General features: G+C 42.0%; 1 protein-coding gene and 1 long non-coding RNA gene across 9 annotated transcripts in view; one reads left to right on the top strand and one right to left on the bottom strand.

The window, feature by feature from the left end:
* CDH13 (cadherin 13) overlaps positions 1-27,869 on the bottom strand; it is a 1,173,672-nt gene that overhangs the window by 795,219 nt on the left and 350,584 nt on the right. The window lies entirely within an intron of this gene.
* LOC101928417 (uncharacterized) overlaps positions 15,124-27,869 on the top strand; it is a 37,069-nt gene continuing 24,323 nt past the window's right edge. The window contains exon 1 of the long non-coding RNA NR_110937.1: positions 15,124-15,296. This is a non-coding gene — a long non-coding RNA (uncharacterized LOC101928417). The remainder of the gene's footprint in view (positions 15,297-27,869) is intronic.

The raw sequence follows: 27,869 nt of genomic DNA, 5'->3' as shown, positions 1-27,869 counted from the left end.
AGCCTACCTTGGTACTTTAGTATGCCCACAGGTTACAGGAGGTAAGGAACTGGAAAGAGATGAGAATGAACAGGGAGAAAGAGTGAGGAGGGGCTGGGGCCTGGAGTTCCTATGCTTTGGTAGAAAAATTCCCTATTTTCCAAACTTAATCTTTGAGTGGAGACAATGAAATAATCATCCAAAAATCCAGCAATGTCCAGCTGTGAAGGGTAGAGCCACCGGTTAAAGCCCTGGCAGAAATTGTGTCTTCTTGTAATAATAGAATCTCATCTCCTACCCTCTGGGTTTTATTCAGGTACCTGGCTACTTAGTTAGAAACTACACTTCCCAGCCTCCATTGCAGCGGGCCATAGCCATGTGACTCAGCTCTGCTCAACAGGGAATGAAAGGGAGCATTAGGAGAAACTTCTAGTCAATGTCCTTTAAAAGGAAGATGCTCTTCTCCTGTTCCTCCCAGTCTGTTTCCTACAGCCTGGCTATGGTGCAGGAGGTAGGAATGAGGATACCACCCTGGGGATGACAAGTGCCATCTCCATCCATGCTACTTGGAATCACAAAGCTGCTGTAACTTGCTGGAGACATAATGTGAGATGATAATCCACAGCCTTTTCAAAACATGAGTCCTTGGCTGGGTGGCACAGTAGCTCACTCCTGTAATCCCAGCCCTTTGGGAGGCTGAGGTGGGCGGATCACTTGAGGTCAGGAGTTTGAGGCCAGCCTGACTAACACAGACAAACTCTACTAAAGAGACAAAAAATTTGCTGGGTGTGGTGGCGGGCACCTGTAGTCCTAGCTGCTTGGGAAGCTGAGGCACGAGAATCGCTTGAACCTGGGAGGCACACGTTGCAGTGAGCACACCAATACACTCCAGCCTGGGTGACAGAATGAGACTCAGTCTTGGGAAAAAAACAAAACAAAACAAAACAAAACAGGGGTCCTTGCATGACATTCAAAAGAAGAGTTACCTTGCTGCCCTGGAGTGGTTTATGAGGAAGAAGTATAATTCTATTTGGTTTAAGCTTCTGTTTTTGTAGCATTCTTTATTACAGCTGTTAGCCAATATCCTAACTGATTTGGATGCCCAGGTCTGAGCTGGCATAGTGTTTTGTGAATTCAAAGTTCTTCCTTTTGAGCCTCCAGAGCCTTTGGCAGCATTCTATGACCCTTTCCTCCTGCTTCCCTATCTTTATCCCTGACTCCTACAAAACCCGCTGCAAGGGAACACAGATACTCACGGTATAAGGAATGGGATTCAGCTGGCCTGGGGCTGTAGGTTTCTGCTGGTCGGACTCAGTATTCTACAGTTGCATTCATTAACCCAAGAAAATTTCCTTATCAAATCAGAATTCCCTGTCATTGACTGAGAATATTTTTTTCCCAAAGAGCATTTATTATCTACTTTAGTCTGACACATTCGATTGTCTTGATTCTCCTACCTCTTCCTTTGTTAATACGATAAGGAAGTACAGTATTTACATGGAGCAAATCCACTTAGAATTTTCCCCAAAACAAACTAAAGGAGAATATAAAAGAAGTGACAGAGAGGCATCATAGATATGTAAGCTCTTATTTATACAGAATTATTTAGGGTATGGAGTACACTGGTTAAGCCCTGTTCACATTTCTGTAACTGCTTCCAGCAAACATTCTAAGGAACCTTTGAATGGAGTAGTCACAGATGCCCAAGGGTCGTAGTAATCTTCTCTGTGCTCTAATGCTATGTGAAGAGAGAGGTAAGTTAAGTTTTAGTTCATCCACCTGTCTCTCCATTACTGCTTTCTGTAACATTCCAGGACATGATATGCACTGACCAATGTGATATATTCAAGTCTGAGAGGTTTGCAATTGAGCTATACTTGCTTGGGTATGAAATAAAGCTCCTTCTTTGTTTGCTTTTCCTTGCTCAGTAGCTGCATCAATGATAATATGTTACTAACCTGATTATACATTTATTTATTCTCCCTATACAGCATTTTCCATACTGTCCCTATTTATGAGCCTGGATTTTTGAGATAGAAAATTAAAAAAAAAAACCCACTTAAGCCAGTTAAATAGATAAATTATCAATGCAATGCTACCTGGAGTCACAAAGCTACTGAAACATTCTGAAGACACCATGAGAGATGGCAATCCACAGCCCTTGACCTTTTCCAAACTACAGTCCTCTCACCGCCCAAGAGCAATTCTCAGCTCAAAATATATTTGCATTGGCCTCAGAGGCCAGCTGGGCTTATCAAGACTGTCATATGGGACTGAACACACAGACAAATTACAAATGAGATAAATATTTACATAAGTCATTCCAGTGTTGGGGAAAGGACACTGGGGTTGGCATCAAATTAAGATTCCTATTCTAGTACCACCACATATGAGCTGAGTCATGCTGGACCAGTATTCAGTGTTTTCCTCTTTAAAGTGGGAATTTTGTTACCTACCTCTCCAGGCTTTTGCAAGAATGTCGTAAAACAATATATTTGGTACATGCTCAATAGATAAGTGTTAAGTCAATGGGTAAATTGAAGTAAAAGCCCTAAATAATCTGGTCTTGTCAGCCTTTGCTGCCTTATATCTCCTCCAATACACTAGGCACACTCCAGTGTCACGGCCTTTGCAGTTTCATTCCCTTCTGTCTAGACAGCTTTTCCTCCACATACCTACACGGCACATTCCCTCACCTCCTCCCAGTCTCTGAACGCCCCTTCTCAGTAGCATCTTTCCTGATGATCATGCCACTCACAAGCAAACCTCTTCCCCGCTTATTCTGCTTCGTTACTGTGTTACATTGATCACAACCCAACATTGAATACATTTTATTTGTTTATTGCCTGTCTGCACCAAGCGAGAATGAACACATCACAATGGCAGGGATTTTTGTCTGTTTAGCCTATTGTATTAATTTCCTGTGGCTGCTATAACAAACTATAAGCTTTGTGGCTTAAAACAACAGAAATTTTTCTCTAGCAGTTCTGGAAGCTGCAAAATCAAGATGTTGATGGGACCACACTTCCTCCATAGGTTCTAGAGGAGATTCCACCCCTTGCCTTTTTCAGCTTCCTGTGGCTCCAGGTGTTTCTTGGCTTGAGGCCACATCACTCCAAGAGTTGCCTCCGTATTCATATGGCCTTCTCCTCCTCCTGCAGTGTTGTTCCTCTGTGTGTCTCTTAAAAGCACACATGTCAATGGATTTAGGGCTCACCCAGATAATCCAGGCTCCTCTCATTATCAGATTCTTAACTACATCTTCAAAGACCCTTTTTCCAAAGAAGGTCACAATCACAGGTTCTAGGGATTAGGATGTGGACATATCTTTTTGGGGCCGACATTCAACCCATCATATCCACTGTTGTATCTTCAGTGCCTAGAAGACAGTATGGCACGTTGAAGTGCTCAGTTCACATTTGTTGAATAAATGAATGAGTCAAATACAAACAGTCCCTGGAATGTGGTTGGAACTTTTAAGGTGAGCTCCTTTTTTGTCTTCCCTTTTCTATGATATGATGTTCCTGAGGTGTACAGCTCTCCTGAGACAAATTTACTGAGATAGTAATTGCACATTCTGCCCATTTGGAAGGGCTTCCCATAGCTCCCCAGCAGTCAAAAGTGATCTTCTCCAACATGTGTCTCGAGCCTGTATCCCACCACCTGGACAGGACTCATTGACATGCACAAAATATCCTTTACATCAAATGTCCTCTGGGTCACAGCCAATCATCCGTAGGTGTAAATGGTCACACAGAACCCCTTCTGACAAGAGAAGCAAAATGCGAGATTCGCTTCTCAGAGTGGCACATCCATTAACATGGCTGCCAGATAACTCCTTAGAACTCTACTGATTTACATAAATACCTCCCAGTCAATTTCTCTTTTTCTTAAATTAAAATGAAAGTGGCAGCTCCCTGGCTGAGGCCCTGGACACGGTCTGGCAGCTCTGTTTTCATGTGAGCAATGGCATTTTGAATACTGGCCCATTGGAGCAGGAAGAGATGAAAAAATATCCATTATCATTATTGGTCACTATTTGCTTGAACATGCTGAATAACCCTCACTTGAATGCACAATAAACTCATTTAAATGGGTTGGAGGAATTCACACCAATGCAACACTACTTGTGCTAAGCAGCTCCAATAGAAGGCTAGAAATGCATTCTCAATTGCAAGAACGACTTAAGAAGATGGAATTGCGAAGCAAACGTAAGTTACTTGCCTGCTCTGTGCAGATTTCTATGCTGTGTGGTCACCACAGGGGTTTTTTGGAATAAATATAAAGTCATCTTTTTCTTCAAGGGACTTACGATCTACTAGAAGATCTTGACAACATTCTCACATAAACAGATTAAAAGCAGGTAAGTAGAGCAGTAAGAATTCACAAAGGAAGCTCTATGTGTTTTTCAGGAGACAAGTGATACATCTGAATGGTAGTAAAATCAGCTGAGGTTTGGAAGGGGTAGCTGAGAGTGAAAAGCGCTGAGGAAAGAGAGAAAAGCAAATAGGCATAGAATGAGTAAGCTGTCCCTCAAGTCATGTTCTGTCCTTAACAGATAAATGGCCAGGCGCGGTGGCTCACGCCGGTAATCCCAGAACCTTGGGAGGCCGAGGCGGGCGGATCATGCGGGCAGGAGATTGAGATCATCTTGGCTAACACGGTGAAACCCTGTCTCTACTAAAAATACAAAAAATTAGCCGGGCATGGTGGCGGGTACCTGTAATCCCAGCTACCTGGGAAGCTGAGGCAGGAGAATGGCGTGAACCCAGGAGGCGGAGCTTGCAGTTGCGCCACTGCACTCTAGCCTGGGCAACAGAACGAGACTCCCTCTCAAAAAACAAAACAAAACAAAAAAAAAAAAAAAAGAGAAAAGAAAAAAGAGACAACCTTGGGGTCGGGTGAGGTGGCTCACACCTGTAATCCTAGCACTTTGGGAGCCCAAGGTGAGTGGATCACCTGAGGTCAGTAGTGAGACCAACCTGGCCAACATGGTGAAACCGTGTCTCTACGACAAATACAAAAAATTAGCTGGGCGTGGTGGCGGGCGCCTGTAATCCCAGCTACTCGCGAGGCTGAGGCAAGACAATTGCTTGAACCTGGGAGGTGGAGGTTGCAGCGAGCCGAGATCGCAGCTTTGCACTACAGTCTGGGCAACAAGAGGAAAAACTCTGTCTCAAAAAAAAAAAAAAAAAAAAAAAAAAAAAAAAAAAAAAAAATAAGCTAAACCTGTGGATATTCCTAGGGACAAGGCATTTACATAGAATTGCCCAATAAGATGTAAAAATGACTGACATTTACTGAGCACTTACCAGGTACCAAACGCTCCGCAACATCCTCCACCCTGTATAGACCAGGGTTTTTCAGCCACAGCACTATTGACATTTTGGGCAGGATATTTTTTTGTTGTTGTTGTTCTGCATGGATGTCTTAAGCATTGCAAGATGTTTAACAGCATCTCTGAATTCTACCCACAAGATGCCAGCAGCATCCCCCAGCATGACCACCAAAAATGTCATTAGACACTGCCAAATGCCCTCAGGGGGTGAAATTGTCCCGGGTTTAGAGCTACTGGTGCACACTCTTTTATCCCATCTGCTTCTTAGAAGGACCGCAGAGGCAGCGTCATTAGCCTCATCTTATTGATGAGGACAGAGATATATGGAAACGTTAAATATGTGCTGGACGACAGCTGCTGGAGAGGGGTCCTTGCCCTTCGGAATATATAGTGCAAACTGTGTTTTTAAACATGTCATTTGTTTAATACTTATACAGTTTTTATTGTACAGAAGCATTAAAATTTTATGTAGCCAATGATATCAATTTTCAGCTTATTTTAACTTTTGGTGTCATGCTTAAACTCTGCCTGACCATAAGATAAGAAAAAATTCACCTCTGATTGATTTTTTTCCAGTGTTTTATGGTTGCCTTGAACACGTATCTTGGTATCATCAAGAATTTATTTTGATGTAAGGGCATATCTATATATATAAACATGTGTTATGTGGTTATGATATTTCTTCCCTGTTAAGAGAACTGAAGGGGTAAGAACAAGTGGTATTCTCTTAAATCCTGTTATTGGGAGTTTGTCATACAACATTTCGGTAAAATTTCTTCAAATCACCTCCCTAAGGTTATGTGCACCAACAGTTGAGCCATAGGAGCTTTGGGACTGACAAAGGAGGGGGGAAAAAAACAACTTAAATGCTAGTAACATTAAGGAGTATCTACAATAAGGAAGTTGAAAGAGAAAAGAGGGCTAAATGGAAGTTACAAGGTACATAGATAAGAGGACAAGTCCAAAGAATGTAACATAATGAAAAACAAGAAGAGGGATGCTTTCACCAGAGCGATGGACTTCAAGTATCAAATGAAGGAAAGTTTCTGCTGATGGAACGTGGAAGAATACGCGTTTTGGTGTCTGAAGGGATGTTCTTGGGAGGAGAAACTTGATTAAGATAAATATTCATGTGCGTAAGGAAAATTACAGCGGCAGAGAATGAAAGCTTCTTTAACAAGAAAAGTGTTGGTGAAAGTTAAAAATGAGAAGGGGCAGTATCTGCAAAAAAAAAAAAAAAAAGGATCAAGGGGAAATTACATGGCAGCGTTTCTTAAGTCAGGCTTAAGGCGTACATGAATGAGATTTAGGGGAGCCTGTGAAACCCCTAAGATTATATTTAATTTTTGCTTATATGTATATGTTATTCTAAGGATATGGAACATACTAAATCCATTTATGAATAACTGCTGATAACTACTTGTCAGAGGACAAGATCAATGTCTGCTAATTCATAGCAGAGGAGAATGACCCAAGAGAAGGATCTAAATTGGAAAGCTGAGAGTGGCATGAGGTATTGGATGAAACAAGGTCCAAGCAGAGGTGAGGACAGATGAAGTCAAGAGTATTTCCTGGACAGAAAAGTCTAGTAGTGAGATCTCATTTGTTTTATCATCATGCTTTATTATCACCAAGAGGACAGGCTGTCCAGAAAAAGAAAAAGTTACATGTCACTATAAAAAAACAGGACAAAACAAAATAGAAAAGAACTTCACGAAAGTGATACTCTTGCTTATTTATGAAAGTTGGAAATGCTTTTTTGCTATGTTCTTTCTTTCTCTTTTGTCAAAATGTCTTCAGTCAATATATGCTGATTTTTAAAATTACATAAGACACAAGATGTTATTAAAATCAATGCATTAATGCGTTTTAGAAAATAGTTATTCTAGGGAAAATGATACAAGCAAAGTGAGGATCTTAGGAAGGTCTGTATGACGAAATATAAAAAGTTCCAGGATCAAGAGACAAACGTGGATGGCTTTGAAGCCATAGAAAGGACAGGATTATGTCAACCTAGAAAATTTGAGCTGGTCACCAACTCTGCCATGAATTGACCATGACTGTGAGTGCTCAACTCTGAGATTCTCTTTCTCTATTTATGAAATACAACACTGATATCTTCTATACAGAGTTTCTAAGTAGGTTAAATATATTATTTATATGAGTGACTTAATAAATGCACATTCTTAGAGTTCTACTAGTATCAGATTCACCTTAGCTGATATTGTTGGCCTGATAAGAGCTGCAACTGGTAGTTAATCTCTTTGACTCCCTACCATTTAAAAATAGCCCAGAAAATGATACTGAATATTTAATGTTGTGACAGAAACTTACCTTAGAAGCCAGATAGACTGCTGAACTTCTATGTTAGATATAGCTGAGCTCAAATCCCAGCTTTTCCATATATTAGCTATGTGATTGTGGAAAAATCTCTTGTGCCCAGTATTTTCACCTATAGAACAGGGATAAGAACAACCTGGGCTCAGGCTTGTTTCATCAAGTATAAAATAAGATTGCCATTAGCTGAGACAACTGGGTGGGATTAGGGGAAGGTAAATAGAATATATTGTGCATGTACAGAACCTTTATTTAAAATGTTGACATTTTGTTTACCATGGATTTTTGCACTAATTTTTATTTTTATAAAATATTGCATTAAATATTATTTACTTTAATTACTGAGATTTTTCGTATCCCTTTAAATTTGGACCCAAAGAGAGTACCTCATTCACCTCACTCTAGTCCTAGCCCTGAAGCCAACAATTAGTGAAAACGTATTAGGGTCAATCACAATACTGAGCACTGTGAGTTTACACATTTGCTTGTCAGTGAAATATTTAGCACAATATCTAGCCTAGAGTAAGGCATTATCATCTTTACCACCCATTACCATCATTATCATCATCACTACCATCAACATCACCACCATCATCACCATCACTATCATCACCATCATCACCATCATCACCACCATCACCACCATCAGCATCACCACCACTACCATCACCATCATCACCACCGTCATTACCATCACCACCATCACCATCACTATCATCATCATCATCATCACCACCATCACCATCATCACCATCACCATCACTATCATCATCATCACCACCATCACCATCATCATTACCACCACCACCACCATCATCAACAACACCATCGTAATTATCATTACCATAATAATCAACATCACCATCACCGCCATCAGCATCACCATCACTAGAATCATCATCACCACCACCGTAATCATTACTATCACCACCATCACCATCACTATCATCATCACCACCATCACCATCACCATTACCCCCACCATCACCATCGTCATCACCATCACTATAGTTATCATTACCATAATCATCATCACTACCATCATCATCATCATCACTCTCATTATGATTTTCTAAGATATCCTAAATAAATTTCCTAATATTTCCAAGTTGCAGTTACCTCATTTTTATTACAAGGCTAACATTGCCCCCTTATAAGGCGTAAAACTTAAACAAGGTCGTTTTTGTTGTTGCTATCATTAATGTTTTTGCTGATTTCAATGTATCACCTGACTCTGCAGCAAATCCAAAGAGTGCTTGTCAAGAAATCACACATTTCTAATGAACATGGAGACTAGCCCGGCAGAGAGATAAAGCAGGACCATGCTGGGTCCTGGGCTGGCTTTTGCACAACCGCCTAAGATCTTCACACAAAGAAGTATGCACTGTGCTCAGAGCTGACATTTCTGTAGTCATAAAGCTCAGTGTTGTTCCAGTTCAGGAAGCTGATGAGTCATGGGGTAGAGGCCACTGGGAGAGGAAGAGGGTTTACTCTTTTTTTTTCTTTTTCTTACCATTTTCATTACTTCTCAACTGATTTTCGATATACAACAGGAAAGGAACATAATGACCTTCTACTCACTGCCCCACCCAGAAAACCTCAAATAACTAATTGCCTTTTTTTCCTAAAATGGAAGAATTATTTCATCTGCCCGAAGGTTTTACTTCCTTCTGCTATGCTTTTGCCCGGTAAGCCTTTTAATCTTGTAAAGCACAGCCATATGAACAAACAAGGGAGAAAACAGGAAGATGGCAACTCTCCAAGTTCATCCCATTTTGAATCTCACTTGACAAACAGCGATGCATGGTTTTGATAAAGGGTATGAGGATTGTGATTTGACCTTCCTCTTGCCACTGTGTAAAATGTAAACACAGTTTACTTTCTCATAATTAAACGATATCGATTCCCCAGCAGCCCGCGAGAGGGTTGAATCATCTTTCTCCTCAATGGATGCAGCGTGATCCCTGTTATCATCTAGTTATATCCAATCAGAAGTAAACCATGACAAGCTGGGTGGGGGAATGCAGTGGCTTCCTGCTTCCAGAAGTTGTATAACTGGGGAGAAGTATCACATCTATTTTGAAAATAGTTGTTTGGTGTGTTTTTACGATACACCATGGTGTTATAATAGGTGATATCAGATTCAGTAGTTTAAAGCAAAAAGGACTTTTTTTCTCCCTTATTTAAGAGTCTAGGTTGGCAGTCCAGAATTGGAATGGTGGCTTGATGGTATTGGGGATGCATCCTGTTGCCATGCCATCTCTTCCATGTTACCCTTTTCAGCTTAATTCAAGATGATTCACCACCACGTTTGCGTTTCAGCTGAAGAAGGGAAAAACAGGAAGGGAAAATAGACTTCTTGCCTTTCAAAGGCATGGATTAATGTGCTAACATCACGCTCACTCATGTCTTAGTGGCCATCACCCAGTTCCATGGTCATACCTAGATGCAAGGTGGCTGGAGAAAGTAGTCTTTAGCTGAGTGACCACGAGCCCAGCAAAATCTGCTGTTGCAAAACGGAGGATGACTATAGCGAGATTCACTATGAGTTCTGGCCACAGTTGAGTTGAATAAATGTTTCCCCTAGAATGGAGAGAGGGTCCTAGTTGGGGTCTCTCCATCCCTGAGCCACTTGGGTTGTGATGATAATTGATAGTGATGATTAAAATGACGGGAATAAAGATAGCAGCAGTTAACATTTACTCACTTCTTGCTTTATGCCTCTTTGTACCAAGTGCTTTGTAAACATTATGCATTCTATCTTCAGGATAATCCTACAGGATCAATAGTATAATTACCCCAATTTTACCCATGAAGAAATGGAGCCGCATCAAGTTCAGAAACTTGCCCGAGGTCATGTAGCTAGTATGTGGCCAAATGAAACCCATCTGTCTCTATGTCCAAAGTTATTCTCTTAACCACTTTACTCAGGTATTAATAGTGGTCTGAAATCCTTCAGTATTTCACAAAGCTGAACTAAACTGACAAAGTTCCCCTTAACCAGATCATCTGAGCCAGCTAAGAAGTGTTTGTTTGGGGCTTGAATACTATCAACGTAGGTATCAATGGAGATTGGTAGTTTCATTTGTCAAAGACTAATACGTTTTTCTTCCTTACAAAGAACTTGATTAATTTTTAAAAAGAGGGAAAATAAGTGAATATTTATTAAGTGCAATTTGTTCAGTATATCAGCTCTTTCTAAACATGGCTTCCAGAGTGAGAGAGAAATAACCAAAGGGGCCATTAGCTGAGTAAAGGTTGGGAGATTACGATGAAAGGCTACGCTCTCCATGGTCTCTTTGCTGGAGCTGATAGAAGCCCTAGGCCAAGAGCAGAGCAGGGAAATCCCTGCCCCTCCCTAAAGGTAGGGGGTCTCAGGCACCCCGCTGAGGCTTGATGATGCTGAATCAGAGAGCAACATGGAATCTGGAGCAGTCTAATGCAAGGGCCAGGGTTGTACTAAGTCAGGATGAGGAGGAGTTAGAGACGTGGGTCTCTAGCTATAAAGAGGCCCATCCAAGAACTGAACAGAAAAGCTAAGCCAGTGAGTGTGATGCACAAAGGATGGGTTCTGAGGTGCAGCTGCTGTCGTCTTCATGCATCAGCACATTAAAATGTTTGGGAAGAGAAGGGGAATAGAACATCCCTTCCCTCCCCACAAACAGATGGGTAATTAGATGGAGGGTGGGAGCCAGATGCTGTACTTCCCCTGAGACCAGCACCAGAGGGAATGGGCTGGCTCTGCAGAAGACATTTCCGTTCCTGAAAAGGGATATAATGATGGGGAAAGAATCAGGGCTTCAGGATCTTGCAGGGAGGGGTAACAACGGAGGGGGAGTGCTTGCTTCTTCCATGTTAATCCTCTGCAGCCCCCTCTCTGTGCACCAAAGAACGAAGCACCAGGTGACCACTGCAGTTAAGAGATTCCACCTGACTATAACCCTGTCAAAATGACGTTTCAGGAAAACCTGCTTGTTAGATCCTGCCAATGCTATGTCTGCTGGTGTTTGTTTCAGTGGCCTGTTTTCTGTGTTTTTTGGTACAATGCTGTAGACACTTCCCCAGAGGTGTAACACGTGTTCAGCTAAGTCCCATCCGAGAAGCAGCATCCTCTGAACTAGCAGACACAGTCTGATATAACATGTCTTTAATGCTGACTCAGCTGCAATTATTTGCTATTAATCCAAAATAAATTCTTATAGAAAACTTCTTAAACATGGCCCAATGCTACTTCACAATGATGATGAATTTGGGCTTGGCAAAGAGGCTGGCGAGGAAGTCAAAGATCAGTTCCTAGAGTCCTCACGGAGTCAATTTACACACCTCTCTCACCCTGGACCATTCTTTGTTTTTTTTCAACTGAGTCAAAAGCCAGTGGTAACTCAAAACCTGCAACAACTTAAATCAGTAGTTTAATAAGCGTAAGCATCTGTATGATGTAGAACGTTCTCTGAAATCAAGAACAACAGTATAGGCAGCACCAATGCTCTACGGTGGGAGAGCCCAAGACATCTGGAAAGGAGGGAACTTGGGCTGCCTTTGGGAGATAAAATGTGAAATTAACCCACAAAGAATAGTCATAAAATGTTAGCAGAAGGAAACAGATATCGAGGGCAGAAAGAGTGTAGACAGTTATTAGTAATATATTAACTGAATTAACCTACCTAAGATCAAAGGTGGAATCAGAAGATAGGGCCTGGTAAGTCTTGAGGAAACAAACAAACAAAATAGCTGGCATGGCCCAATGGAAGCCCTGTTTAAGGAAGACTTTGCTTCAGCCACGAGACTTAGAGTATCCTGAGGCAGATGGACACGTGGGGTGGTCTCAGCTAAAGGTCATTAAACCTGCAAGCCTGAGCCCTTCTCTAGCCAAGGACATGCCTAACCAGCATCTTCATTTTTACCAATAATTTGATTATCATCTCAGCATGAATTGATTTTCTGTTCCTCTGAACTTCTTCCCATTATTGCTTAATTTTTATGGGGTCAACTACTTATTATGGTCTTTATTTCAAAGTAGACTTTAATCTGCTTGATGCCAAGAACCACATAGTAACTTTTTTTTGTATATCACCCTCTTGTCATGTAGTATTGAAGTTAAGCATTTGCTTTTAAAAAATGTCTTTATAGGCTAATTTTAAATCAGACCAATTTATTGATCATACAAACATTTAGTTAAAGCTTTTTGACCTTGGGGTATTGTTCCAGAACACTGCAGAATTCTAGTCTCTGAGAATGTTAGATTATCTCTAAAGTTCTGAATTCTATCCCCACCCTGCCCCTTGACTGGTTGTAAACCAGTCTCTCTGCACGTAGAGCCCAAAGTCTCACTGATAAGAGACTCTAGCTTAAAGATATTTTTTATATATACACATATTTAACTCTGATTGTATATATCAAAATCTCCATTTAATGGAGTCTTGAAAATTGACTTTTAAAAACATTTACAAACATCCTTGGTGATTCTGATGCCCACGAAAATTTGAGAGCTGCTGATTTCAGGCCAAGCTCTTCATTTCACAAATAAGGATACTGAAACAGATAAGGCCATGCTTTCCCAGCTAGCTCACAACAGAGGCTGGACTAGGACATACTTCAACATAGTGCTGGTCTCATTCTGAAGTTTACCACTTCCTATTAAAGTATGAGGAAGTCATGTCCTTAATGAGGTTAATCAGTGCCGTTTCACTTCTACGAAATACTCTTCTTCTTCCTCAATGCTCCTTTCAGTGGAAACATACTTTTATTATATAATTTGCTAGAAATTATTTCCTCATCCCTTTCTGAAATTTTTGACATGATTGATCCTCCATCTCATTCACTACCTTCTTTTTGATTAATGGAAAAAGTTCTGGTAAATTTCTTTATATCACTCTCATCCTAGATAATGATGTGAAGCGGTTTTGTTAAATTGGCAGAATTAAAGTTTTAAATTTCTCCTTCCCTCTTCCTCAACTATGTTCAAGGCTAAGATCAGCTGTGCTCAAACTTCTATAATTCTCTCAGTTTATAGACACAATCGTTTTTATTGCCAAAATCAGGAGTCCTTTGAGTTTCACTGTGCCACACGCAATGTTCACATCAGCGGTTGCTTGAGATTACCATGCTTTCAGATCATGACTTGCCCTTTGATCACTTATTTGACCCACCCACATGTCAAGGGTAAGTTTTATATATTATGTCCTGGAGGTTGCCGTGAGATGAGGGATTGCAGTAGTCTGGTTGTTTTATAAGAGCTAAATTGGACTTGGGCAGGAAAGAGATGAAAAGCCAGACTGAACAAGGGCCTTGCAGTTCATGGCAACTGAAGTGAAGGAGTTGAAATCTGTGTTAAAGATAAATCAACATAAGGCTGGCCAATTTATATCAAAATTCTACATCTCCCCCCTTACTAGATGAATGTTAAGAGGAAGGCATATTAAGATATATACTTTTAAAGTATTTGATTTTTACCTTAAATTTGCCTTTCAGCAGTAAAAACCAAAATTATTGCAAATGTGACCCATGTAATACCTAAGAGCGTGTGATCAATTTTTCAGTTGAATGTGTCATTAATAATGCACTCTTGGTAGACATGTTGCTATTAGTTTGAAATAGTTTTCCAGGCCATCTAAGTTGTCACTGTTGCTTGGGAGAAGGCCATTGTGCAAGATGGTGTGATCAGATGTGCTTCTGGACTTTATCAAATCAAGGATGGCAGGTGCATGGCAGGGATGCTACTACTGCTTCCTCATGCCCTATCTCTGGTAGGCACCACTACTGCCCTCTTTTCCAATGAGACGAGTATGGTTTCAAAATTGTTCTCAAACCAGAGCCATTGATTAGTGCCAGCACATGAAACTAAAGCCCTTTAATTCTTGAGTCAACATATGTATGAGCCTTGGTGCTGAAATCTGATAAGAAAGTCTTCATTTTAAAAAGATATACTGTGGGGCACAGTGGCTCACACCTGTAATCCCAGTACTTTGGAGGCCAAGATGGATCACTTCAGACCAGGAGTTCAAAATCAGCCTAGGCAACATAGCAAGACCCCACCTCTACAATAAATAAATAAATAGCTGGTCCTGGTGGCATGCACCTGTAATTCTAGCTACTCAGGAGGCTGAGGTGGGAGAATCACTTGAGCCCAGGAGTTCAAGGCGGCAGTGAGCCGTGATTGTGCCACTGCACTCCAGCCTGGATGATAAAGTGAGACTCTGTCTCTAAAAAAAAAAAAAAAACCCAAACCAAAAAACCCACACAAACGACAAGGAAGAGATGGAAGCTTTTGGCTTCCTTGGCTAGACTGCCATCCAAGTTATTTGAAATCCTGAACGTAAGTCCAGGAGGGGCCCAGGTCCCAGCCCATCACAAGATGGGCTGTACCTAGAAAGATGGGAGAGATTGGTAGGCCAAGATGAGTGGGAACCACAGTAATGTATTCCTGTTTCCTCACTCCTGAGTCATTCCAAGAGAAACAAAAAGATGATGCCATCCTCCTTGAAATGCAGTTTGCATGTTTTTTCTAGGATCCTTGCTTTTCTGCAGAACAAGAGGCTATCCATTTCAAAGATGAACTTTGAAAATGCTGAATTCTAGAATGATTGGCAGTTGGCTCTCTGACTTCTAGACGCAACAGATTGGGGTTGGAACACAGATAAAGGTAAGTTGTTTCAAGGGGAAGGGAGAGGTTGCAGAGAAAAAAAAAATCATGATGTGATACAGTATATGGATAGTTCACTGCAGGGCTGAAATAAGAGAATTGCCTGACAAGAAAAGCCTCTGGGCTTCAAAAAACCTTGGAGACAAGAAATGGCTATTGAGGGGAGCTGGTAAAAAAAAAAATGGGACTGATGAGAAATTTGCTAAGCAGTTGTTGAACGGAGACGTGGGGCTAGAGAGAATTTCTATGATTAGGTCCCAGGGATTTTAACAAGGGCAGCTTCATTAAGAAACAAAGGGATTAAACTAACATCTAAACGTAAATCACATTGCCTGGTTAAAGAGTCACTGGCCAGGACGGGGATGAAAACAAGTCACTTCTGTATAGGTGGGTTAAGCTACGAGAGCCAGCATTGAGAACAGAAGCAGGCAATACCCTGCACCTTGAATACAGCATGACTGCTGAGATTTCTTCATCCTCTGCACTAATCGAGAAAATTAAAGTCTCCATTGTATCACTGGTCCACACAGCCTCATCTAGGCTCTGGGCCTAGAGAAGGTGCCAGAGAGAAACAAACAAGAAAATTGACATGACTGGATTCCCAGCCTTCAGGCACCACTTTGCTGGTCACCCTTGCCACTGCCTTACCCAGAATAAGTTTATAGGATCCTGATATTCCTGGGACATGTGGCTTCTTCATCTCCCCATCCCTCTCCAGCTCACACTGCCATGTCAAAGGCAGAACAGCACCTCCACAGTCAGCTAAGATTCAAAATCAGTGATTACTAACACAAAAGGTAATACGATATGCAAACTATATGCTTGTCTGAGGACACCCAGGGATGCAGACTTGTACTTGTGAGTGATGTCAACATAAATATAGGCCCCACAGACAGCCCCATTCCTTGAGGTCTTTTCCTTTTTCAGCTACTCACACTGCCATGTTCCAGGTATCAGTTGGATACCCATTCAGTCTTCATTCTCTCTCTCCGTCTCCCCTTTGTCTGCTTTGTACATTTTTGAAAGTTCATTTTCTCTGTGTAAGTGCAGGCCTTACCCTATATTTCAATTTCAAATTAACTTAGTAGTTCACTCTTTCATCCTTTAATAAGTTAATTTATTTATCTAATATCCAGAGGGCTCACTTAGGTCTTTGGCACTGGAGATATAAAAAGAAATGAGACAATGGAGTCTTCAAGGAACGTAGAGTCTCACTTGGAATGTTCTGACCTGATGTCCTCTCTGTCTTTGCCTTTCACCCACAGAACACCTCCTACCTTGCGGGACACAGCAACCTACTGAGTGAGCATCCAGTCCCGGTCCTGAATCTGCCCTTCATTACTCGCATTTTTTTTTTTTTTTTTGAGTTGGAGTTTCACTCTGTCTCCCAGGCTGGAGTGCAGTGGTGCGATCTTGGCTCACTGCAACCTCCGCCAGCCGGGTTCAAGCAATTCTCCTGTCTCGGGCCTCCAGAGTAGCTGGGATTACAGGCACCCACCAACATGCCCAGCTAATTTTTGTATTTTTGTAGAGACGGGGTTTCACCATGTTGGCCAGGCAGGTCTCGAACTCCTGACCTCAGGTGATCTGCCCGCCTCAGCCTCCCAAACTGCTGGGATTACATGTGTGAGCCACTGTGCCTGGCCGATTACTCAGTCTATGGACGTTTTCAGCTCTTCTAGAAGCTTCCACGTTCTTCAACATCTGCCTCTATAACTCCAGCCTCCAATTTCTCTACTTCACACTAGGGGTTCACCATACTTATCTGCCCATCTTTCACTGATTTGCCAAGAAAAAAAACAAAAAACATTCCCTCAAGTCTCCTCACCTTGGATGCCCCCAGTGCATTTCATTCTCTAAAGGCATTTCTTTATATTAAAAAGAACACGTGTGTGCGTGCTCTTACATACATGTGCATACATATACACTACATGCATATGTGCACATACACACACCACATATGCATGTACACACACGACCCTGGGTTATATTGCTTTGGTTTTGGCCCAGCTGATCAGTCTTCAATGATTGAGGAAGGAGGGTTATTGCTACAAGATGTAAAAACATAGCCGTGCTTCAATTGGCAGTGGCAGTATCATGCTCTGGCAGGGAGTGCTCTGCTGGGAGGGTAGTGTTCCAGCCAGCTAGTGTAGCAAACAATGAGACGAGGCACTGTTGACTCATCAGATCATGATGAACACTTCAAAGGGAGAAAGACCTCTCTGTGCTAGATCCAGGTTACCTTTCCAAATCCCAAGAGGCAGAATCACAAAGCAAGAGATGGGGCAACCCAACACAAAATCCTTGAGTCTCTAAGCAATAGCAAAACCCACAGACCCTTGCTGAAGAATGCAGCCATAGGGAATTCCTTGCATGGTCCTTACACTCTTTGCGATTCAACCAGTGACCAGCAACTTAAAAAGAAGCCTTTTAAAACTGGCTGATTCATGGCCTGGCACAGTGGCTCATGCCTGTAATCCTACCACTTTGGGAGGCCAAAGCGGGCAGATCACCTGAGGTCAGGAGTTTGAGACCAGCCTGGTCAACATAGTGAAACTCAGTCTCTACTAAGAATCCAAAAATTAGCTGAGCGTGGTTTTAGGGGCCTGTAATACCAGCTACAGAGGAGGCTGAGGCAGGAGAATTGCTTGAACCTAGAAGGAGGAGGTTGCAATGAGCCAGGATCGTGACACTGTATTCCAGCCTGGGAGACAGATCAAGACTCCATCTCAAAGTCTCAAAAACAAACAAACAAACAAACAAAACAAAACAAAACAAAAATTGGCTGATTCATGCCAATGAGGCAGCATATCATAAGATCTCTGCCCAGTAGATAGAAAGACAGCTAATTAATGCAACACAATCCTTCCTTTTGGGCGAGTTTAAGGGATACAGCAGTAACTGGAAGAACCAAAGAAGACAGGGAAGTTGAATCATGAGAATATTGAAGACCACAGAGGAGGGAGCAATGGAGGCTACTTCTGGGAAAACGGCAAGGTGACCAGTGCTACAGCCGCTCCTCACTGATTCACATGTCCTCTCCATAAACATTTCCTGAGTAGCCATTTTGTGTGAGGCACCTTCCTGAATGCTTTTTGTCCCTGAAAAGTGAATCCCTAAATTCTAATTCCATCAAGATAAGATGGAATAGATGGGATAAGTGTTTCCTCACATGTTTTCTGTTCCCTTTCCATAGACTTAACTCACCCAAACCAGGTGAGTCTGTCCTACACAACTTGAAAGTACCTAACTCATAAAAGTTTAAAAGAACTGGGAAATTTGGAGTTCCAGGTATGACAGAATGAGATATGGTCTCAATTCTTCACCCATTTGCGGTATTTGTAGACATTCATCACCTTGCCATGGTCTTACAGTTGGGTTATCCTTGTGACTTGGTTTGACCAGCAGGTACTATTGGATGTAGTTCAAGCAAAGGCTTGAGATATGTTTGTGTGGTTGGACTTGCCTCTTTCATTTCTGCTATCCCTAGAAAAATAAGAGACACAGGAAGAAGACCTTAGCTCAACCAATAGTCTAGAGTTAAATCCAGCAGAGGCCCAGCTTAGAGCAGCCACATTCCAGATAACACTCGGGTGTGTACACCAGAAATAAAAGCTTGCTGTGGTAAAGGAATGAAATTTTGCAGTGTTTTTGACCCAGAGGACAATAAGAAATCTGAGAGAAATGGCAAGCTAGAGATTCTGAAAAAGGGCTTTTGTGACAATGACTTTTATATACACAGTGTGCATGGTAGGTATTTGATGAGCATTTTAAACAAAGCGGCTTGGTTTTGATTGTATCAAATGTCAAAGGTTTGTCACTGACCTCCACATGAGCCAGTTCTGGGGCTCACTCTGGTTGCCAAGTGTTACTCAGGCTCAGACGTACCAATATGAAAATTCACAGCATCCTAGGGACAGTATTGATCTCTACAGAGTGCCTGGCTGAACTTGCAGGCACAGACTGTGTTTACAATTGTCTTATGTTGTCCCACAACATCTCTACAATAAGTGTAAGAGTATTACTGTATTAGTCCATTCTTACGTCACTATATAGAAGTACGTGAGACAGGGTAGTTTAAAAAGAAGAAAGGTGTAATTGGCTCATGGTTCTGTAGGCTTTACAGGAAGCATGATGCCAATGTCTGCTCTGCTTGTGGGGAGGCTTCGGGAAGCTTCCAGTCATGGTGGAAGGTGAAAGGGAGGCAGGCACAACACATGGCCAGAGCAGGTGCAAGACAGAGCAAAGAGGGAGGTGCTATGTGCTTTTAAACGACCAGATCTCATAAGAACTCACTCACTATCATGAGAACAGTACCAAGATGGTAGTAAACCATTTAGGAGAAATCTGTCCCCATGCTCCAGTCACCTCCCACCAGGTCCCACCTCCAATGCTGGGGATTGCAATTCAACATGAAATTTGGATGGGGACAAATATCCAAACCATATCAATTACCAACATTTCAGAAAGAAGAGGCCAAGGTTCAGAGAGGGTGAGGGTCCTGCCCAAGATCTCGCATATGGGAAGTGGCAAAAGTGATCTTAAACCCACATCTGATGATCTCTAAAACCACGCACCTATCTCTGTAGGGCCTGAGTGAGAATTTATCTGCAAGAGAAAGGAGGAGGAAAGCCACAAATATGTCTAATGAATACAGTTGTCATCAAAGCACCATTTATTACCTTCACTGAAACCATCAGATTCTACATTCGATGGTACTTTATTTTCCTCCAAAAGTAACTACCATGTTTTACTTACTTCAAGATCTCTGAGCAGAGTTCTGCTTTCCCTACAGAATAGGATGAATCAGCCCTCTAATTTCTTTTTGCTATAATAGAGATGCCTTTCAACTCCCCCTCCTTTAGATTCAAAAGAAGTTCTCCTAAGGTCTCAGAGATACTGACACTACAGTTCCCTGGACACCTGTGCATCCTGAAGAAGTCAAAATACATTAGGATTAAAGTAATGTATTTCTGTAAGGATTCCTTTTCAACACTTATGAGAAATACAGCAACTACTATTACTTACTGACCTTATTCAACAGGTCTTGAATTTGACATTCTCAGTCTCAGTAAGTTAATGATCCATGCATGCTGTCCTGCTCATCACTGAGACAGGGGCTGGGCACAAAAAGGAGAGGGCATGAAGACACAGGTGTTCTGGCTTTGCAAGCAGCTAAGTAGGAATATTGCAGATGCTGGAGAGTTGTGACAATTCACTGTAAGTCCCAGGGTAAAAGCAGTGATTATAACATTAGCTAATAGTTATGGAGCACATAGTGTGTTCCAAGCTCTGGGTTAAGTGCTTTATACACACATAGCATAGTATGTGTGTATAAAGCATACTATCCTGAAAAGTAGATTTTGACTGAATTGCCTAGGTTTAAATATCAGCTGTATCCCGTTTAGTTGTGCAAACCTTAGCAAGTTATGTGACCTCTTGATGCCTCAATCTTTCCATCTGTAAAGCGGGAATCATAGCTGAACCTTCTTCAGACAGTTGCTACAAACAAATGAGCTAATACATGAGTTGAAATAGTGACTGGCACAGAGCAAGTTGAAAATGAATGTTAACTGTTATCATTATCCCACTTGATAATTTCAGTAAATTTAGGAAAAAGGTGTCATTACCATCCTTATTTTACAGCGAAGAAATCTGAGGTTCTGAGAAGTTGAATATCTTATTCAAGATCACTCAGATGATAAGTAGCAGAGTCAGAATTTAAACTCATTCCTGCCAGATTCGGAGGTACATTGTCTTAAACACATTGAAACAAGCAATTCAACTTCTGATAGCACAACACATTTCCCATGTGAAGACATAGCTGAATGATACTTCAAGTCTGGGGTGGTTCCGGGAATTCTGTTCAACAAAGCAGTGTGGTTTTCAAATTAGGCTGGCTAATTCAATTGCAAGGGAAAGAAGGTTTTAGAGTTTTATCCAGGTTCCTTGCTCTTCCTTTCAAGCCCTTCCCTTGAAATCCAAATTTAGAATATTTGGGGTGTGTTTAATGGCCTCCCATGTGATTCAAGTGACCTGCCAGGTTTAGAAAACTGCTGGGACTTTTGAATTTCTACAACTGTCTGAGGTGGAAGGTCTTGTGGGCTTCCCAGTCCAGCTTCCCACCCACGGCAGAAAGTCCTTGTATCTATGGCAGATATGCCTCCAGCTACCCACTCTGTCAGGTGTCTTCAGGAAAAGCCCTCTTTACATGAAATTATTCCCGCTTCCTAGAAGCTTCTACCCATTTTTCCCTCTGCTGAAAGGTCCATGAGCAAATCCATTTCCCCCTTACAGTCAGTCCCAGGTGCTGGTGAAATATCCTATGAAGTGGACCAGGGAACACTAATTCAGAGAGACACACAACACAGAAGCAGGCATATATATTTGTGTCCATTGTTCATGGTATGCACAATCTCTCTCATACACACACCCCTGAACTGTTCCCAAATCTCCAGGCAATTAACTGTCAATTTATGTCAAGTGTGACATCATCTCACAGCAGCCCTGTCTCACAGATTCCTCTGTTGTTTCTAAAACATCTCATTTTCCTCCCACATTCTCTTCTTGGTGCCAAGGAGTTTGCATCGTCTGGTTGCTCCCTTACTGGCAGTTGTAAATTCTGTCTTCCTGGAATCCAGGGAACTCAAAGGAAGTGGGCTTCACCATCAGGTCTTGACCCTTCAACCCTCCAAACTCAGACTATGACATATAAGTTCAGATCTCCTGAGGAGCAAATGCAAGTTAAAATTGAAGACCAATTATTATATTAGGGGAAACAGCCGGGTGAGAAAAAATGGGGACGAAGCTGGGAGGAGCGGGGAGAGCTATCAAACTGAGATGAAAATCTGACCTTGAGTGAAGGAGAGAGGAAAGGAAGGCTAAGTAAAAAGTGTTCTGGACTTCTCTGCAGTCTAAGAAAGGTCCTGCAAGGCCATATGGAAGCCCTGGAGCCAAGATCAGCTGTTGAATGAGTTTGAAGATTCCCAGAAACAGATTTGCCTTAGTATCCCTCCCTTGCTGAAGTCTTTGGTGAGGAAAGATAATAAAAACCATAGCGTCAGCCCAAATACTGTCATGGGCTTCAGAGTACAGCATCTGGGGTCACATGTCAGTCGTGTTCCCTGTGGTGGAGGCTCTGGGAGGCATATTCTCAGGGCCACCATGCTTAGCAAACGAAATAACTATGATTTAAAGGAGTATCCCTTTCACTCCGGTTCATGGGGGTATCCATCAAAGCTGTTTTATTTACTTCTTCTCACTGAAAGTTGACAGAAAGACTCTTCATCCCTCAATAAATACTGGGAAATGGAGGGAATATTAGGGCCATTTGTAGAAGGAAGCTCATCAGGACAAGGAACAGAATTAGTTATAGGATTGTGATGCGTTTACTTGTATTTGTGTGGAGTGCAGCCACAGGGAGACGACCTGCAACTACTAGGTTGGTGCAAAACTAATGGTGGTTTTTGCCATTACTTTCAATGGCAAATAGTTGGGGGGATAAGAATGCATTTCTCTGGGGATATGAGACTGGCCTGAAAATCAGAAAAAATCTTCCACATAGAACTGATAGTTGAAGCCATGCAAATGCAGCTTTGAACATGGAGGAATAGTCCCTAAGCCAAGGGATACAGGAAAAAGGCAAAAAAGCAGATTCTCCGCTATGGCTCTGCCGACACTTTAGATTTTTTAGGACTTCGGAGCTCCAGAAATGTATGATAATAAATTTGTGGTATTTTAAGTCACTAAGTTTGGGGTAATTTTTTAATACAACAATAGGAACCTAATACAGTTCTAAAAGCAGAATATTGGAAAATGTCAACTTGTAGATATTATTGGCATAAATAACATCTTATTATTTATAAGATAAGTATTATTTATAAAATAAGAAGAAATTCTTATTTTACAGAGCTTGTGAAATTGGTTTATATGAATTAATTCATATACCTTCCTACAAAGCATTATTATCTCCATTTTATAGTTGGGTAAACTGAGATTAATTTTTTTCCTAATAAATTGCCTAAGATCATACACTTATTAGCTAATAAGTGCTAAAACTAGAAGTTGATTCAGGGAAATATGGCTTCATATACCATGCTGTTAGAATGCTATACTTCCTGTTCCAGAATAGTCCAATGGCAAGCAACAGCATTCAGACAGCAAGGTTAAGAGTAGGGACTGAATGTTTTGCCATGGATACCTATTTCAAGGCTGGGGTAGGAAAGGAAGAAAGTCAACAGTGTTCGAAGCTGCAGAGATTGAGAAGCATACACTGTGAATGGTCATTAGGAAGCCACTGGTAGCTGTTGAAGGGCTTACGGGAGAAAATTGGGTAGAACATTCAAAAAGGAAGGCACAATGTTGCAGCAAAGGCTGAATGTGAGCATCCCATGTGAGGAGATGCATAGAAACATAAAAGCACTTGCAAGAAAGGTAGAAAATGGATTTTTTAAAATTTTATTTTATGGTGTTTTTCATGAATTTCTTTTCTGACCTAAAGAAGGAAGGAGAACACCTGAAGAAGATGGAGAAGAAAGAACCAAATGCTGGAACAGGCTCCTTGCCTGGACCAGCAGGGGAAGACTAGTTTAAAGGGTTAAGCCCTAACAAGGAAAGACTCTTTACCCCAGGAGGAGAGCAGAGGGGGCAAAATTGCTGTGGCAGGTGGAGAATGATGAGACATTCACAGAGAGCTGACTTGATTTACCACATCACCCTCCAAGGAGGGGGTCAAGGAGAGGGCTTCAAGACTGGAGATTCATGGTGAGACGGAAGAATTTGAAATTGGACTGCAGTGTGTGAGCTGGAGACCTGGGGAAAGGTGAATTGAGCATTCTTGAGGGAATACATTTATCAGGACACAAACTTTATTCACACAGGCTGATAATTAATTTAGTTTTGAGATATGCTGGTGAAACGGAAAGTGGAAGTTTATTACTATTGCCCTCCTTTTGAATAATTTTTTAATCACTAAGTGAAAGTTCATAAACAGCTCAATGGAAAATATTCCCATAGAAATGGAGTCCTTTTGGAAACCACCTAGAATGGGTATTTGTATGTATGCAGTCCAGTCGCAGGAGGCTGGGGCTCCTGATGCACCTGAGCTCCCTTTGTGCTGAAATGGCAAAATTTAGGGGATGAGAAAAAAGCAGCAGCATGTTTTGTCCTGGAGCACTAATTACAAAGCACCAGAAGGGTTTCAAGACACTCAATTAACAACGGGAGCAGCCAATAAGAACTTCCTGACATAGACACTTTAATAAATCATTGTTTCCTTTTGGCTCTCATGAATGCTCAGTCATGAAACAAACAGATATTTTCTTGACTGTGTTGAAAAATGAGGACCAGAGAAGACAAGGAGGTTCTTGGGGACAAAGGCAACCCCAAAAGGATACAGTTCACAGTTTGAGGGCTCTGACTCTGTATATGGTAGTTTGCTTGAAAATGTCACCAAAATCTTTAAAGTCTGTTTCTTCTACTAGAGAACACGGAGACCATAACTTATCTTCCTAGATTGTTGGGAGGATTGAAAGAGATGTTTGACTTAAGAGCTCCGCACAGTGTTACCATGAAATGAGCCTTCAAAAAAATCACATTTGCATTAGTTTTAAAGTACATTATTTGGTCCTCTAAAACTTATAATACTGTGTTGTGTTTAATCATCTTCAATCCACCATCTTGTGTACAGCTCTGGATAGATGAAAACCAGGCTGGATAGCTTCTGTTTACCCAGCTCCTCCCTTCACCACCTTTCTTTGGTCCCTGGAGATTGGTCTTTACGGACCCAGCCAAAGCACTCTGTGAGTCTCTAGTTTTGACCAACAGACAAAACTCATTACAGAGGGAAGGCAGGGAGAAAAGGAATCAGGTGTTTATCCTTGCTTCTTCCCTGCTGGGTCACTGAGGGCTGGCTGTATCTCTCAAAGGAAGGTCTCAGACACGTCAGGTGGCCTTCTGCACACACACCTCACTGTCTCCACTTCAGAGAGGGCTCCCTCCTCTCCTCTTAACCCTTCAGACCAGGGCAGATAACTGTCCCTGCCATCACTAGCCCCTGGGGGTGGTGCCATCCCTTGTGGTTTCCCTGTACTTCAACTATGCATTTATAAACTGCCCCTTTATAAAATATTCCATTAATGATTAAATTTCAGTGAGTCATCTATGGGCTGCTGCAAATCTTACTTAAACATGACCCAAGGAAGTGGCCCCAAACAATGCTAGTATTCCAAGATTTCCTAAAATGGTCTCCAAAGTCCAGTTTTTTCTAATGACTGTGCCACACTTTCCCCCTGCCAATTTTAGTGATAATCTGTTCTGATCTTATTGTTTTCCTCTTTCAAAAAAGCAAGGCAGGAAAAAGCTCACCACATACTCCTTGTTGGTCTGTGCATTTGTCTGTTCTCATCCTGCTAATAGAGACATACCTAAGACTGGGTAATTTATAAAGGAAAGAGGTTTAATTGACTCACAATTCTGCACGGCTTGGGAAGCCTCAGGAAACTATGATCATGGTGGAAGAGGAAGCAAACACATCCTTTTTCACATGGCAGCATCCAGGAGAAGTGCTGAGCAAAAGGGGGAAACGCCCTTTATAAAACCATCAGATCCCATGAGAATTCACAATCATGAAAACAGCATGAGGGTAACCACCCCCATGATCCAGTCGTCTCCCCCCACGTCCCTCCCACCACATGTAGGGATTACAGGAACTATAATTCAAGATGAAATTTGGATGAGGACACAGCCAAATCATATCACTCTGCCCCTACTCTCCAAAATCCCGTGTACTCACATTTCAAAAGACAATTCTGCCCTCCCAACAGTCCCCAAAAGTCATAACTCAGTCCAGCATTAACTGAAAACTCCAAGTCCATAGTCTCATCTGAGACGAGGCCTACAAGCCTGTAAAATCCAAAGCCAGTTAGATACTTCCCAGACACAATGGGGGTACAGGCATTGGATAAATACATCTGTTCCAAATGGGAGTAACTGGCCAAAACAAAGGAGCTACAGGCCCCATGCAAGTCTAGAATCCAATAGGGCAGTCATTAAACCTTAAAGTTCAAAAATAATCCCCTTTGACTTCATGTCTCACATCTAGGGCATGATGATGCTAGAGGTGGGCTCCCATGATCTTGGGCAGCTCCACCCCTGTGGCTTTGCAGGGTACAACCCCCCTCCCGGCTGCTTTCATGGCTAGCTTTGAGTGTCTGTGGCTTTTCCAGGTGCATGGTGGTGCAAGCTGTCGGTGGAGCTACCATTTTGGGGTATGGAGGATGGTGACCCTCTTCTCACAGCTCCACTAAGCAGTGCCCCAGTGGGGACTCTGTGTGGGGGCTCCAACCCCATATTTCCCTTCTGCACTGCTCTAGCAGAGGTTCTCCATGAGTGTTCTGTCCCTGCAGCAAACTTCTGCCTGGACATCACGTGTTTCCACACATCCTCTGAAATCTAGACAGAGGTTCCCAAACCTCAATTACTGACTTCTGTGTACCTGCAGGCTCAACACTATGTGGAAGCTGCCAAGGCTTGGGGCTTGCACCCACCGAAGCCACAACCTGAGCTGTACCTTGGCCTCTTTTAGCTATGGCTGTAGTGGCTGGGACACAGGGCACCAAGTTCCCATGCTGCACAAAGCAGGGGAGACTTGGGCCTGGCCCACAAAGCCATTTTTTCCTCCAAGGCCTCCAGGCCTGCAATGGGAGGGGCTGCCATGAAGACCCCTGACATGCCCTGGAGACATTTTCCCTGTTGTCTTGGTGATTAATATTTTGCTCCTCATTACTGATGCAAATTTCTGCAACAGCCTTGAATTTCTCCCCATAAAATAGGTTTTTCTTTTCTATTGCATTGTCAGGCTACAAATTTTCTGAACTTTTATGTTCTGCTTCCCTTTTAAACATAAGTTCCAATTCCAAACCATGTCTTTATGAATACATAAAACTGAATACTTTTAACAGCACCCAAGCCACCTCTTGAAGGCTCTGCTGCTTGGAGATTTATTCTGCCAGATACCCTAAATCATCTCTCTCCAGTTCAAAGTGCCAGAGATCTCTAGGGCAGGGGAAAATGCCACCAGTCCCTGTGCTAAAACATAACGAGAGTCACCTTTGCTCCAGTTTCCAACAAGTTCCTCATCTTCATTTGAGACCACCCCAACTTGGACTTCATTGTCCATATCACTATCAGCATTTTGGTCAAAGACATTCAACAAATCTCTAGGAAGTTCTAAACTCCCACATCTTCCTGTCTTCTGAGCCTTCCAGGTCTCTAGGAAGTTCCAAAATTGCCCACATTTTCCTGTCTTCTTCTGAGCCCTCCAAACTGTTCCTACCTCTGCCTGTTACCCAGTTCCAAAGTCACTTCCACATTTTTGGGTATCTTTAGAGCAGCACCCTGCTCCCTCAGAACCAATTTGCTGTATTAGTCCATTTTTATGCTGCTAATAAAGACATACCTGAGACTGGGTAATTTATAAAGGAAAGAGGTTCAATTGACTCACGGTTCTGCAGGTCTGGGAGTTCTCAGGAAATTTACAATCATGGTGGATGGGGAAACAAACATGTCCTTCTT

The sequence above is a fragment of the Homo sapiens genome, chromosome 16 (genome assembly GCF_000001405.40).
Source record: "Homo sapiens chromosome 16, GRCh38.p14 Primary Assembly".
Taxonomy (NCBI): domain Eukaryota; kingdom Metazoa; phylum Chordata; class Mammalia; order Primates; family Hominidae; genus Homo; species Homo sapiens.
This window is presented reverse-complemented; position numbering and strand designations above follow the sequence as displayed.